Below are 12,433 nucleotides of genomic sequence, written 5' to 3'. Positions count from 1 at the left end.
GTGCCCCCGCTACCCAGCTGGGCCTCTTTGTCCATGAAGGTCCCCTACCCTAGCCAGGCCTCTTCTTTTAGCTTGTCACCCCCTTCCCTGACCCTATGCAGCCCACTGAAGTAGAGCACCTTTCCCATTTCTAGAGCCCTTCAGCAGTCTTTGCCCCTGTCCCCAGTCAGCAACCACCACCCCGCCACCCGCAACAGGCCTATGCTCCCTAACCCTCCAGGATTCCTTTGCTTAAGTAGATCCTGGGATATAAACTCTATATGAAGTTAGCTACACAAAAACAGAGAAGCAGGTATTTTTTAAATGGTTTTTATTTTTGAACAAACTACATGTTTAAAAACTTTCAAAAACATATATATTTTATCTTAGAGCATTTGGAATGTAGAAAGAATTTCCAAAATTAATCTCACTGAATTACAGAAAGTAAAGATTAAAATTTTCATAAGTTGTTGACTGTAAATCATTTCATTTTATATTCTTTTGGAAAATTCAAGGATATTAACAAGTCTCAAATAACAAAAGTATATTGTTCACTTTTGATGTAACAAAATAGAATAAAACTTTAATATTTTAAAGAATCTTTTTAGATATTTCTGTATCTCTAAGAAATAAGGAAAGTTGTTACATTCATATCTTTCACACTTCATACCAGATGATATAACAAGGTCAATCAAGTACTTGAATAAATTCATACACCTTTATATCTCTAAGAATAAAGGAAACTTACTCGATTCAGATCTTCACCCCTTAGAGTAAGTAAATTACCTATCAATGTGTCTCTTTTTTCTTTATACCAGTTGTAAAGATAATGAAACGTATCAACTATTTGAATAAAGTCCTATCTCTTCCTACCTTTAGTAAAGGAAATTAAGTTCAGATCTTTCACATCTTAGAGTAAACCTTATCTAGCCTATCAGTTTATCTAAATTTACTTTATCTATTTAACAGATTTACCTTACATGTTTTAACAAATGCTGTTATTTAGAATTAGCAAACATGGGAGAAACTAAAATTAATTAGGAACCACACAAGTTTTGATGAAAAGAAAACAAAACAAAGTACTAGCGGATCTCTTGTTCATAACTTGAGACATCTCCTGAGTAGTCTAGCTTAAGTAAATAGCAAACCATGGCAATCTTTCCCCCCAAAACTCAGCAAAAGGCCTTCACAAGGCATTTTGATCACATAAACTCCAATTTTGTCTAAGTAATCCAAGACATTCATAGGAAAACCTGAAGACTCCCCGAGCTAGTCTACTAGATTTATTTTTCCCAGAACACATGAAACTTAACATTTCCTTTTTTTCTTTTTTTTTTTTTGGAGACGGAGTCTCGCTGTCTTCCATGCTGGAGTGCAGTAGTACGATCCCGGCCCACTGCAGCCTCCGCCTCCCGGGTTCAGTTGATTCTCCTGCCTCAGCACCCCAAGTAGCTAGGATTACAGGCCCCCGCCAACCTGCCTGGCTAATTTTTCATTTTTTTGAGACGGAGTCTCACTGTCTTCCACGCTGGAGTGCAAAGGCACGATCTCGGCTCACTGCAACCTCCGCTTCCCGTCAAGCGATTCTCCTGCCTTAGCCTCCCGAGTATCTGGGACTACAGGTGCCTGCCACCACGCCCGGCTAATTTTTGTATTTTTTGTAGAGGTGGGGTTTCACCATGTTGGCCAGGCTGGTCTCGAACTCCTGACCTCGTGATCCGCCCGCCTCGGCCTCCCAAAGTGCTGGGATTACAGGCGTGAGCCACCGCGCCCGGCCAATATTTCCATTTTTGTGGTGAAGTTATACGCAACATGACCAAATCTTAGTTGGTGAGGGAGGTAAAAGACCCTTAAGGGCAAGAAGAGGTTAGAACTTTCAAATTTATGCCCCTCTGGTGGTGCAATGCAGAGATTTCCCTCATATTTCCGGGGAATTTCCCTCGAATTTCGTTTCCCACCCTGTGAAAGCAGCAAGGTTAGGAAAGCGGGGGCGGGGCGGGGGCGGGTAGTTTTGATTAAAAGGAAGGAAAAGAAAAACAGAGAAAAGCAAAAGGGGAAAATAAACTGAGCCTACTGAGGAGATGCGGCGACGGCGACAGTTTCCCGGGGCTGCTCAGCGCCTTGGGGCCTACAGGAGACGCGGGAGCACGCCCCCGGCGGCGCCGGCCTCGAGCGGTGTCACGGAGTTGTAGTGCTCGCCGAGGCTGTAGGCATAGCGCAGGTAGACCAGGATGATCGGCTTCTTGACGTACTCCTCCCCGATGATCAAGGTGGGCGAGTCGGCCTGGATCACCTCGATGGGGGTCTTCAGGACGTGCGACAGGGCCCTCAGCTCCAGCTGGCCTCCCCATGCCGTGGTGCGCACGATGTTGTCGCAGTAGATCATGAAGTCGTCGTAGCCGAAGGAGTCGCTGGTCTCGGGGTTGCTGAAGAAGGGCAGGAACTCGTCGACGTGCTTCTTCATGTAGCTGGCGGTGCGGCAGCGCAGCATCTCCACAGACACGCTGAACACCAGCTGGTCTTGGATGGCGCGGTACATGCAGTGGCCGTCGGCCGGGATCGCTTTCATCTCCAGACCCCTGGCTCCCAGGATGGCGGCGAGCTTCTCCTCCTCCTCGCGCTTGAAGCCGGCCAGGTGCTCCGACATCTCAGCCTGGAAGATGCTCTCCTGGCGCTCCCTCTCCTCGGACTCCATTCTTTCTCTCTTTCTGTGGGCTTTGGAGGAGCGGGGAGGCCGGTTTTCCAGATTCATCTTGGCCAGGTCTTCGACGACAGATTCAATGCTACTGTCGTCTTGGAACTTCTCCAGCTCCTGCCGGTGCTTCTGAGCCATCTCGGCCTCCATGCGGGCCACGTCTTGGAGCAACTGCTTTCTTTTCGTCTTGTCGGTCTTGGGGACCGAGTTTTTTAAGCTCCGGATCTGGGCCTGCAGCTCCTGCCTCTCGCGTTGGTGGCGGCGCAGTATGCGCTGCTGTTCACTCTTCGGATCATCCATGATGTTGAATGGCAAGCGGGAGTTGAAATTTGCTGGCAGTTCAAGTACCGAACAGACCAGAAGTCCTCAGCCTGTCCTAACGGTCGCTCTCTTTCACCTCACCGGCTCTAACCGCCGCTCTAGGCTCACCTCAGCCTCCGCTTCCCCTCCCCCATTCGCATTCTTCTCTGCCTTTGGTCACTGTGTCTCCATGGCCACGCCCCCGCAAGTGCTAGGCCACTTGCTGGGCCACCCGCAAATGCCCAGTGCTAGGATTGGCTGTTGGGAGACCGGAAGTATGAGCCCATTGGACCCCACAGCAAAGGTTTTTGGCGGGATTCAAATATGGCCTTCCTGCAATGTGTGTGGCAGTTGGGCCTGTAGAGTCTTTCGCTGATTGAGAGCCGACTTCATTTCCAAGTCTGCACACAATGCAGGCAGTAGCCATGCCTGACAGCCACATGACAGATACTACACCGCTGAATGTGCTCTAACCCTGGACTTGGCATTGCCCCTACTGTTGAGGAAGCAGTGCGTTTTTCTCCAGTCTTTCAGGTCCCTTCACCAGGGAACCATTAACTTGTGCATCAGAACAAGGACATTTCCTTACATTCCTGCAAACACAGTCCTTTCAGTTTACTCTTTTTTTGAGGGGGGGGCGCGGGGAACGGAGTCTCGCTCTGTCGCCCAGGCTGGAGTGCAATGGTGCAATCTCAGCTCACTGCAACCTCTGCCTCCCAGGTCCAAGCGATTCTCCTGCCTCAGCCTCCCGGGTAGCCGGGACTACAGGCGCCTGCCACCACGCCCGGCTAATTTTTGTATTTTTAGTAGAGACGAGGTTTCGCCGTGTTGGCCAGGCTGGTCTTGGAACTCCTGACCTCAGGTGATTTACTCGCCTCGGCCTCCCAAAGTGCTGGCATGAGCCACTGTGCCCAGTCACAAGTTTTTATTTTAGCCATTTTGATAAGTGTGAAGTTCCCTGATGGCTAATGATGTTCCTTTTTTCATGTGCTCATTTGTCATCTATGCCATATCCTTTTCAGTAAAATGTTTATGTCATTTGCCTATTTTCTCTCTCTTTTTTTTGGGGGGGGTGGAGTCTAGCTCTGTCACCGAGGGTGGAATGCAGTGGCGTGATCATGGCTCATTGCAGCCTCAAACTCCTGGGCTCAGGCTCAGGTGATCCTCCTGCCTCAACATCCTGAGTAGCTGGGACTACAGGCACCACCATACTTGGCTAATTTTGGGGAATTTTTTTTTTTTTTTTTTTTTTGCCAGATGCGGTGGCTCACGCCTGTAATCCCAGCACTTTGGGAGGCCAAGGTGGGAGGATGTCTTGAGGTCAGGAGTTCCAGACCAGCCTGGGCAACATGGTGAAGCCCTAACTCTACTAGAAATACAAAAATTAGCCAGGTGTGGTGGTGTGTGCCTGTAGTCCCAACTACTCCTGGGGGCTGAGGTGGGAGGATAGCTTGAGCCTGGGAAGCAGAAGTTGTAGTGAGCCAAGATAGCGGCACTGCACTCCAGTCTGGGCTCAAGTGGTCCTCCACCTCTGCCTTCCAAAGTGCTGGGATTACAGATGTGAGACACCATGCTCAGCCCTTCATTTGCCTATTTTCTTTCTCTCTCTCTCACTCTCTTTCTTCCTCTCTCTCTCTCTCTTACTCTCTTTCTTCTTCCTTCCTTGGTTTCCTTCCTTCCTTTTTTTTTCTTTTTTTTTTTGAGACGGAGTCTTGCTCTGTCACCCAGGCTGGAGTGCAGTGGCATGATCTCGGCTCACTGCAGCCTCCAGCTTCTGGGTTCAAGCAAGTCTCATGTCTCAGCCTCCTGAGTAGCTGGGACTACAGGCGCACACCACCACACCCGGATACTTTTTGTATTTTTAGTAGAGACAGGGTTTCACCATGTTGGCCAGGCTGGTCTTGAACTCCTGAGTTCAAGCGATCCCCCTGCCTTGGCCTCTCAAAGTGCCGGGATGACTACACACACCACCATATCCAGCTAACTTTTTTTTTTTTTTTTTTTTTTTTACTTTTTGTAGAAACGGGGCCTCACTATGTTGCTCAGGCTGGTTTCGAACTCCTGGGCTCAAGCGAGCCTCTCACCTCAGCCTCCCAAAATGCTGAGATTACAGGCGTGAGCCACCGCGCCTGGCCAGGATTTTTGTAGGAATCGTGTTCAAGCTGAATATCAATTTGGGGAGAATTGACATCTTTACTATGTTGAGTCTTCCAGTCCTTGAACACCTGGGTATGTATCTCCATTTACGTAGATCTTCATTGATTTCTTTCAGTGACACTGCATGATTTTCAGCATATAAATCCTGTGCATATTTTGTTAGATTTACACTTAAGCATTTCTCTTTTTTTGAGTGATTGTAAATGGTATTGTATTTTTATAATGTGAACATTTACAATGTTCACATGGTCATTGCTAGTATATAAAAATACAATTGACTTTTTTTGTTTATCTTGTGTTCTGTGACCTTGCTTAACTAGCTAATTATTTCTAGGAGGTTTTTTCCCCCCTTGATTCCTTGGAATTTTCTATGTAGGCAATCATGTCATCTGTGAATAGGGACAGTTTTATTTCATCCTTTCCAGTAAGTATGTCTTTTATTTCCTTTTCTTGCCTTATAGTGCTGATTAGAACTTCCAGCACTATGTTGGATAAGAGTGGCAAGGGCAGACATCCTTGTTTTGATCTTGATTTTAGGAGGAAAAGAATTTCATCTTTCACTGATAAGTATGATGTTAGCTGTAGGATTTTGTAAATGTTATTTATCTAGTTGAGGCCTTTCCCATCTATTCCTATTTTTCTGAGAGTTTTTGACATGAATGGGTATTAAATGTTGTCAATGTTTTTTCTGTATTGATATGCCAATATGATTTTTCTTCTATAACCTATTAATATGATAGACTATAGTGATTGATTTTTAAGTATTAAGCTAGTCTTGCATTTCAGAAATCAACCTGATTTGGTCATAGTTTATCATTATTTTTATATGTTGAGGAATTCTTTTGGTAATTTAAAAAAGGATTAAAAAAAATCTATGTTCATGAGAGGTATTGGTCTGCAGTTTTCTTTTTTGGTACTGTTTTGTTTAGTTTTAGTGTCAGGGTAAATACTAACTTCACAAGAAGAGGAGGGAAGTGTTCCTTCCTCTTCTATTTTTTTGGAAAGAGATTGTGTAAAATCAGTAATAATTCTTCTTTAAACATTTGATAGGATTCTCCAGTGAAACCATCAGGGCCAAGAGATCACTTTCTTGGGAGTTTTAAAATTAAAAAAAAGTTTTCCTTAATAGGACTAATCAAATTATATATTTCATATTGAGTGAATTTTGGTAGCTTGTGTTTTTTGAGGAATTGGTCCATTTATTCTGAGTAGTCAAATTTATGTGTGCAGAATTATTTGTAGTATTCCATTTTTATTGTTTGATGTTGGGAGGATTTATAGTGGTATTCCCTGCTTTATTGGTAATTTGTGTTTCCTCTTTTGTTCTTTGTCAGTCTTGCTAAAGATTTGTCAATTTTATTGATCTTTTCAAAGAACTAGCATGTTGTCTTATTGATTTTCCCCATTGATTTTCTGTTTTAGATTTCATTAGTTTATGCTATTTATTATATTCTTCCTTCTGCTTGCTTTGGGTTTAGTTTGCTCTTCTTTTGCTAGGTTCTTGAGGTGGGAGCTTGAATAATTGCTTTCAGACTTTTTCTCTTTTTCCAAAGTATACGCTTAGTGATATAAACTTCCTTCTCAGTACTACTTTAACTGGTTCTCCCATGTTTTGATATGTTTAGTTTTCATTATCCTTCAGTTCAATGTACTTTTTGGTTTTCCTTGAGACTTTTTGGCCCATGGATTATTTACAAGTGAGTTATTAGCTTCCAAGTGTTTGTAGGTTTTCCTGTTATCTATTAATGATTTCTACTTTGATTCTGATATGGTTTGGGTCTGTGTCCCTGCCCAAACCTCATGTTGAATTGTAATACCCTCTGTTGGAGGCGGGGCCTGTGGGAGGTGATTGGATCATGGGGGGCAGATTTCTCATGAGTGGTTTAGCACCATCCTCTTGGTACTGTCCTTGAGATTGTGAGTGAGTTCCTGTGAAATCTAGTTGTTCAAAAGTGTGTGGCACCTCCCCTCATCTCTTTCTTGCTCCTTCCTCCATGATTGGAAGTGTCCTGAGATCTCCCTAAAAAGCAGAAGCTGCTATGCTTCCTGTACAGCCATCAGAACCATGAGCCAATTAAACCTCTTTTCTCTTTTGTTTATAACTTACCCAATCTCAGGTATTTTTCCTTTTTTTTTCTTTTTGAGACAGTCTCGCTCTGTCACCCAGGCTAGAGTGCAATGGCGTGATCTCGGCTCACTGCAACCTCTGCGTCCTGGCTTCAAGTGATTCTCCTGCCTCAGCCTCTAGCAGCTAATTTTTGTATTTTTAGTAGAGATAGGTTTTCGCCATGTTGGCCAGGCTGGTCTTGAGCTCCTGACCTCAAGTAATCCACCCGCCTCCGCCTCCCAAGGTGCTGGGATTACAGGCATGAGCTACCGCTCCTGGCCCAGCCGGTATTTCTTTATATATAGCTATGCAAGAATAGCCTAACACAGATTCCTTTGTGGTTAGAGAACACATTTGTATATGATTTCAATTCATTTAAATTTGTTAGGGTTTGTTTAGTTTATGGCCCAGAGTATGGCCTATCTTAATATATGTTCCATGGGCACTTTAAAGAATTCATGTTTTGCTCCTGTTGGGTGGAGTGCTCTAAAAATGTTGTTTAGATCCCAGTGGTTCATGATGTTGTTCAATTCTTTTATATCTTGCTGATTTTCTGTCTAATTCTTATGTTTATTGTTGAGAGAGGAGTTTTGAAGTCTCTGACTGTAATTGTAGCCTTTTCTATTTCTCCTTTCAGCTCTATCAGGCTTAGCTTTTCATATTTTGCACCTCTGTTGCAAATCCTACACATTTTAGGATCTTTGTATCTTCTTGGTATATCCATCCTTTGATCATTATTGGAAGTCTAGTCTCCCCACTCAGTCTTTGCTGGTGGGGGTGGGGCCACAGTTGTTTTTTTCTCTGGTTATGGCTGGCATAGAGTGATTATTGTCTAAAACTTTTCTGTCTTGCTAGGCTAATTCATTCCTAATCCCTTGGCTGGAGAAAACAGGCTTTTATAGGGACTCTTTTTGTCTATGGCTGTTAGTGTATTTTTGGTTGTTGGCTTCTTTAACTTCAAGTCTAAGATATATGAATCAAAAAGAAAATTCATGTCATTCCTCCTGTCCTGAAGACCCTATGTGGTCTGCCTTCTTTCCACTTTTTGGAGTCTTGTGTTTGTTTTGTATATGATATCCAGAGTTTTTAGTTGTAATAGCAAGAGGAATAGGGCAAAGGATGTCTATTCTATCTTCTCCTATCTTATTTGAAATAAATGGAACTATTTCACACTCTCCCTTACTGGCATTTGCATGTTTCAAAGAAATTAAATACTGTGACTTAAAATGAATCAAAGCAATTATAATTTTAGAAAACCATTATGCTGATCCTGAAAGAGACATCTTTTGGACTTTGATAGTGTGATAGCAATGGTCATGTAGAGTCTGCTTGTTTGCTGCAATCAAGATAGCTTTTTCAGATTCTGCAGAAGGAATGACAGGTCCCTCTGAATGTCAAATCCCATTGTGTGGGTTTGTTTTTGTGGCCTGAAGTGCAGAAAAACCAGCTTTGCAAATGTTGAGCTTTCCTGTCTGTAGTTTGTGTTAAGGAAACCATAGTTATTATAATATCGAATGTGCCTTTTCCAGCTCTGAACTGAAGCCTACTCCCCCAACACACACTTTCCCATCTGGAGATTATGATCCAACTTCCGAAGCACAGGCCTTGCCTTTTAAAGTCACGTGTCTCCAGCAATAGATGAGCTGCCTGCTCTTCAAGCATCTCTCTATGAATATCATTTCTCACAAGTGGCTTTTGATGAGGATTAGATGGCAGGGAGTTCAAGGTTACCTCTTCCAATAATAAGCACTAGGAATGGTGATAGGCCATCTTGTTAATTAATGGTTATGCTTTGCCAGTCAGCGAGGTGGGTGGAGAAGAGAATGAGTGCGTAACTTCCCGGGGGGTGTGATGATCAAATGCATGTGAAATGCAGTGCTCAGTGCCTGGCACCAGAGGCCAGGAATAAATTGCAGTTTCTTCACTCTACCATACCTCAGTCCCTACCTCCCAACTCCTGTTCCCCATTCTGTATCCCCACATCCACCCTTTACCCTTATTTCTTCTCCCCTTCACAGGTAACCAGAGATGGCAGTTTCCATGGTAATCAGGACCCTCATTAGTTCAGAGCTTAATGGTCCCTAAGTGTCTGTCTGGATTGAGTTTCTAGCCTACATCAGAGGGAAGTTTCCAGTGAGCTCAAGGGCTGTTGAGAAATTGTCAAACATAAGACAATATAACCAAGTTCTCCTAACTAGACACAATAGCACATGGTGTTATTTCAGTCTAAAGAGAGAGGATGTGAGGAAATCATCCCATCTTGTCCTGGGCTTACAGTTCCTGGGCATCTAGAGAATAACTGTCTTCCTAGAACTTGCCTATGAAGGATTATATCACCGGATTGTAGGTGTTGGAGTGTGAGTCAGGCGATACAGCAGACTGGGCAACAAGGAGGCAACCTCACTGAAGGCTTTTGAGTAGATCACTGTGGATTTACTCTTTCTTCATCCTCCCACTGTCCTTTAAGGCTCTGGGGCCACATGAGCTTCCTGCTCTGTTCAGGCCTGGTTTCTGTGCTGCTTTAACCTTGTTCCTGACCCTCCTCCTACGCTGATCCTCCTCCTACGCCAACCCCCTTTGCTCATTCATTCAATCAGTCATTCAGCCACCATTTATCAGCCCTGCAATGTTCCAGGCACTGTTCTAGGCACTTAGGATGTAACAATGAACAAAATAGAGACTCCTAATCTCAAGGAGCATACAGCCAAGTAGGAGAAGACAGATTAAAAAGAAACAACTACATTTGGGAGGCCGAGGCGGGCGGATCACAAGGTCAGGAGATTGAGACCATCCTGGCTAACATGGTGAAACCCCGTCTCTACTAAAAATACAAAAAATTGGCCGGGTGTGGTGGGGGGCACCTGTAGTCCCAGCTACTCCGGAGGCTGAGGCAGGAGAATGGCGTGAACCCGGGAGGCGGAGGTTGCAGTGAGCCGAGATCGCGCCACTGCACTCCAGCCTGGGTGACAGAGAGAGATTCCGTCTCAAAAAAAAAAAAAAAAAAAAAAGAAGCAACTACAGAACTACATACAAAATTGAAGCTGACCTTTGGAAGAGAGATTCCTAGTCTTGCTCTTGATTAGCGTTCTAGCCTCTTTTCTCCCTCTGTCCCTCCTCAGCAATGGTCCATGTACACACAGAAGCTTCTTCTGTTCCCTTTCCACATCTGCTGAAGGATTATATAAGCATTCCTGGGAGAGTTTGAGACTTGTTACTGTCGCCAGTGGCATGAGGTTGGAGGTGAATGTCAATGTTTGGGAAAAAGTGGCCATGTGAAAGCTGCCAATCCCAGGAGTCCTTTGGAAACAGGAAAGGTACATGTTACCCACCAGAGCAGAGGACAGTGACCATCTCCAATCCTCTGAGTCAGAAGAGGCCCACTCTGGCACTTTCAAACTATCATGCTTGATTTTTTTTTTGCCTTCCATCACTAATGTCCTGCTTTGGTTTCTTAGGCAGGCTCTCATCCCCTGATCATTCTTAGTTTGCTAAATGAGAGAAAGCGAGAACTGGAACTTGAGCCAGAATACATAAAATCGCTGACCAGCAGGCCACCTCCCTTCAGAAGAGATGGGTGGGCTGGCAGTGGGTGCCGGGCATGCAGGAAATATCCCTCAGCACAGTGGGGACTCTGCTGGAAGAATCTGAGTAAGCCGTTAAGTGCAGGGGATGGAGGCTAGCCTGATTTCTGGGGCAGCTGAGAAACTGGGGGTGACATTCAGACTTCGTGAGCCACTGAATGGGGTCTGCTATCTGGATGTGCCAGACAAGGCCTGGCTGTGGCTGCCAGGGTGTGCCAACTGCTTTGACCACATGATCCTGGTCTGATCCTAGGGTTGCCAGATTTAGCAAATAAAAGTACAGAACCTGGTTAAATTTGAGTTTCAGATGGACAACAAATAATATTTGAGTAGAAGTATGTCCCATGCAATAATGTTTTAGTGTAAGTATGTCCCAAATATTACACTCAAACATTGTTCATGGTTTATCTGAAATTCCAATTTAACTGGCATCCTGTTATTTTATCCGACAACTCTACCTGGGCAGAGTAAAAACTGCTATGTAAAGGAAGAATGACTGGCTTTATTTTTCATCTGTTTCCAGGAGCCTAGAGAGTAGGACCAGTGGGGTTTGAGCCTGGGTCTGAGAGCATGAAGAAATATTTCACTGGCAGGGGGCTCAATGAAAGCTATGGAGAGTCTTCCCCTGAGTTGCTTGGAATTATTATTAATGGAAAACTCCAAGAACCTTTCCAGCTCTGACCATCTGTGAGCCTCAGAAAGTCCAGGCATGTTGTAAGGATAGAGTGGAGAGATGGTGGAGGGGGATAAGACTGAGGACTGGAAGCACCCACACAATCTTGACCACTTCTCTGTTTGGTATTAGGATGAGGGGATGCATGCAGATGCATCAGCTAGGTACACGGCCTTCTTTCTGTGGACGAGAAGGCAGGGCTTCCAAAATGTCCAAAACGTTCACACTGCCATGGCTTCTGCTCCAGAATTTCTGCCATTCTTTCTCCACAGCGACGCTGTTGGAGGGAAGCCCATTCTGGGACAAATTCAGTTTAGCTCTGGGCCTTCACTTCTCAGTGCCCCACTGTATCCTTCCCACCCCTTCTCTCAATGGCAGCAATGGTGGCAACCTATGTTTGGACACCATTTCACGGTTCACAAAGTGATCGGCCATCTGTTACTTCTCTGGATTCTCACATGTCTGAGTGACCACTAGTTATCTCCTATTTAGAAGTGAGGAAACCAAGCCTCAGAGACTTGCCCAGTGCCATACGGGCCAGGCCTCCATCCACTCAGGCATCTTCATAACAATTGTCAGTGAGTGGCTACTGTGTGGCCTGTGTTAGGGGCTGGGCACGTGAGAACAGTCAGACCCAGAACCACCCAATTCCTGCCCCTGAGAGCTCCCAGACCAAGACGGGAGAGTGAGGCATCAGGGGCAGGGGACAGATGTGTGAAGAGGTGGGGACAACACAGTTCCGCAAGGCCAGGCTTGATACGAATGAGGCCTGTCTCAGGAGTGTCTCAGTGGAGGGAGTGAAGTGGCCTTTCAGCCCCAGGCTTTCTTCTTTGGTAGGCAGCTCTTCCTCTCTTTTCAGGCTGCTGCGGTCTTCACTCGCTGCTTGGGTGCTGGCCCCTGGAAGTGTCCTGGGACTCCATGCACTTGGCCCACAGCCCAAG

The 12,433-nt window shown here is 45.0% G+C and overlaps 1 protein-coding gene across 1 annotated transcript; it reads right to left on the bottom strand.

Annotated features, from left to right (window-relative positions):
- Nucleotides 1–1,319: 1,319 nt before the first annotated feature.
- On the bottom strand, nucleotides 1,320–3,042 carry OTUD6A (OTU deubiquitinase 6A). The gene has a single exon (NM_207320.3). The coding sequence runs from the start codon at nucleotides 2,972–2,974 to the stop codon at nucleotides 2,108–2,110; it is 867 nt and encodes a 288-aa protein (NP_997203.1). The 5' UTR covers nucleotides 2,975–3,042; the 3' UTR covers nucleotides 1,320–2,107.

Source organism: Homo sapiens, chromosome X (genome assembly GCF_000001405.40).
Source record: "Homo sapiens chromosome X, GRCh38.p14 Primary Assembly".
Taxonomy (NCBI): domain Eukaryota; kingdom Metazoa; phylum Chordata; class Mammalia; order Primates; family Hominidae; genus Homo; species Homo sapiens.
Note: the sequence above shows the minus strand (reverse complement) of the source record. Positions and strands in the feature narration are given on the sequence as shown.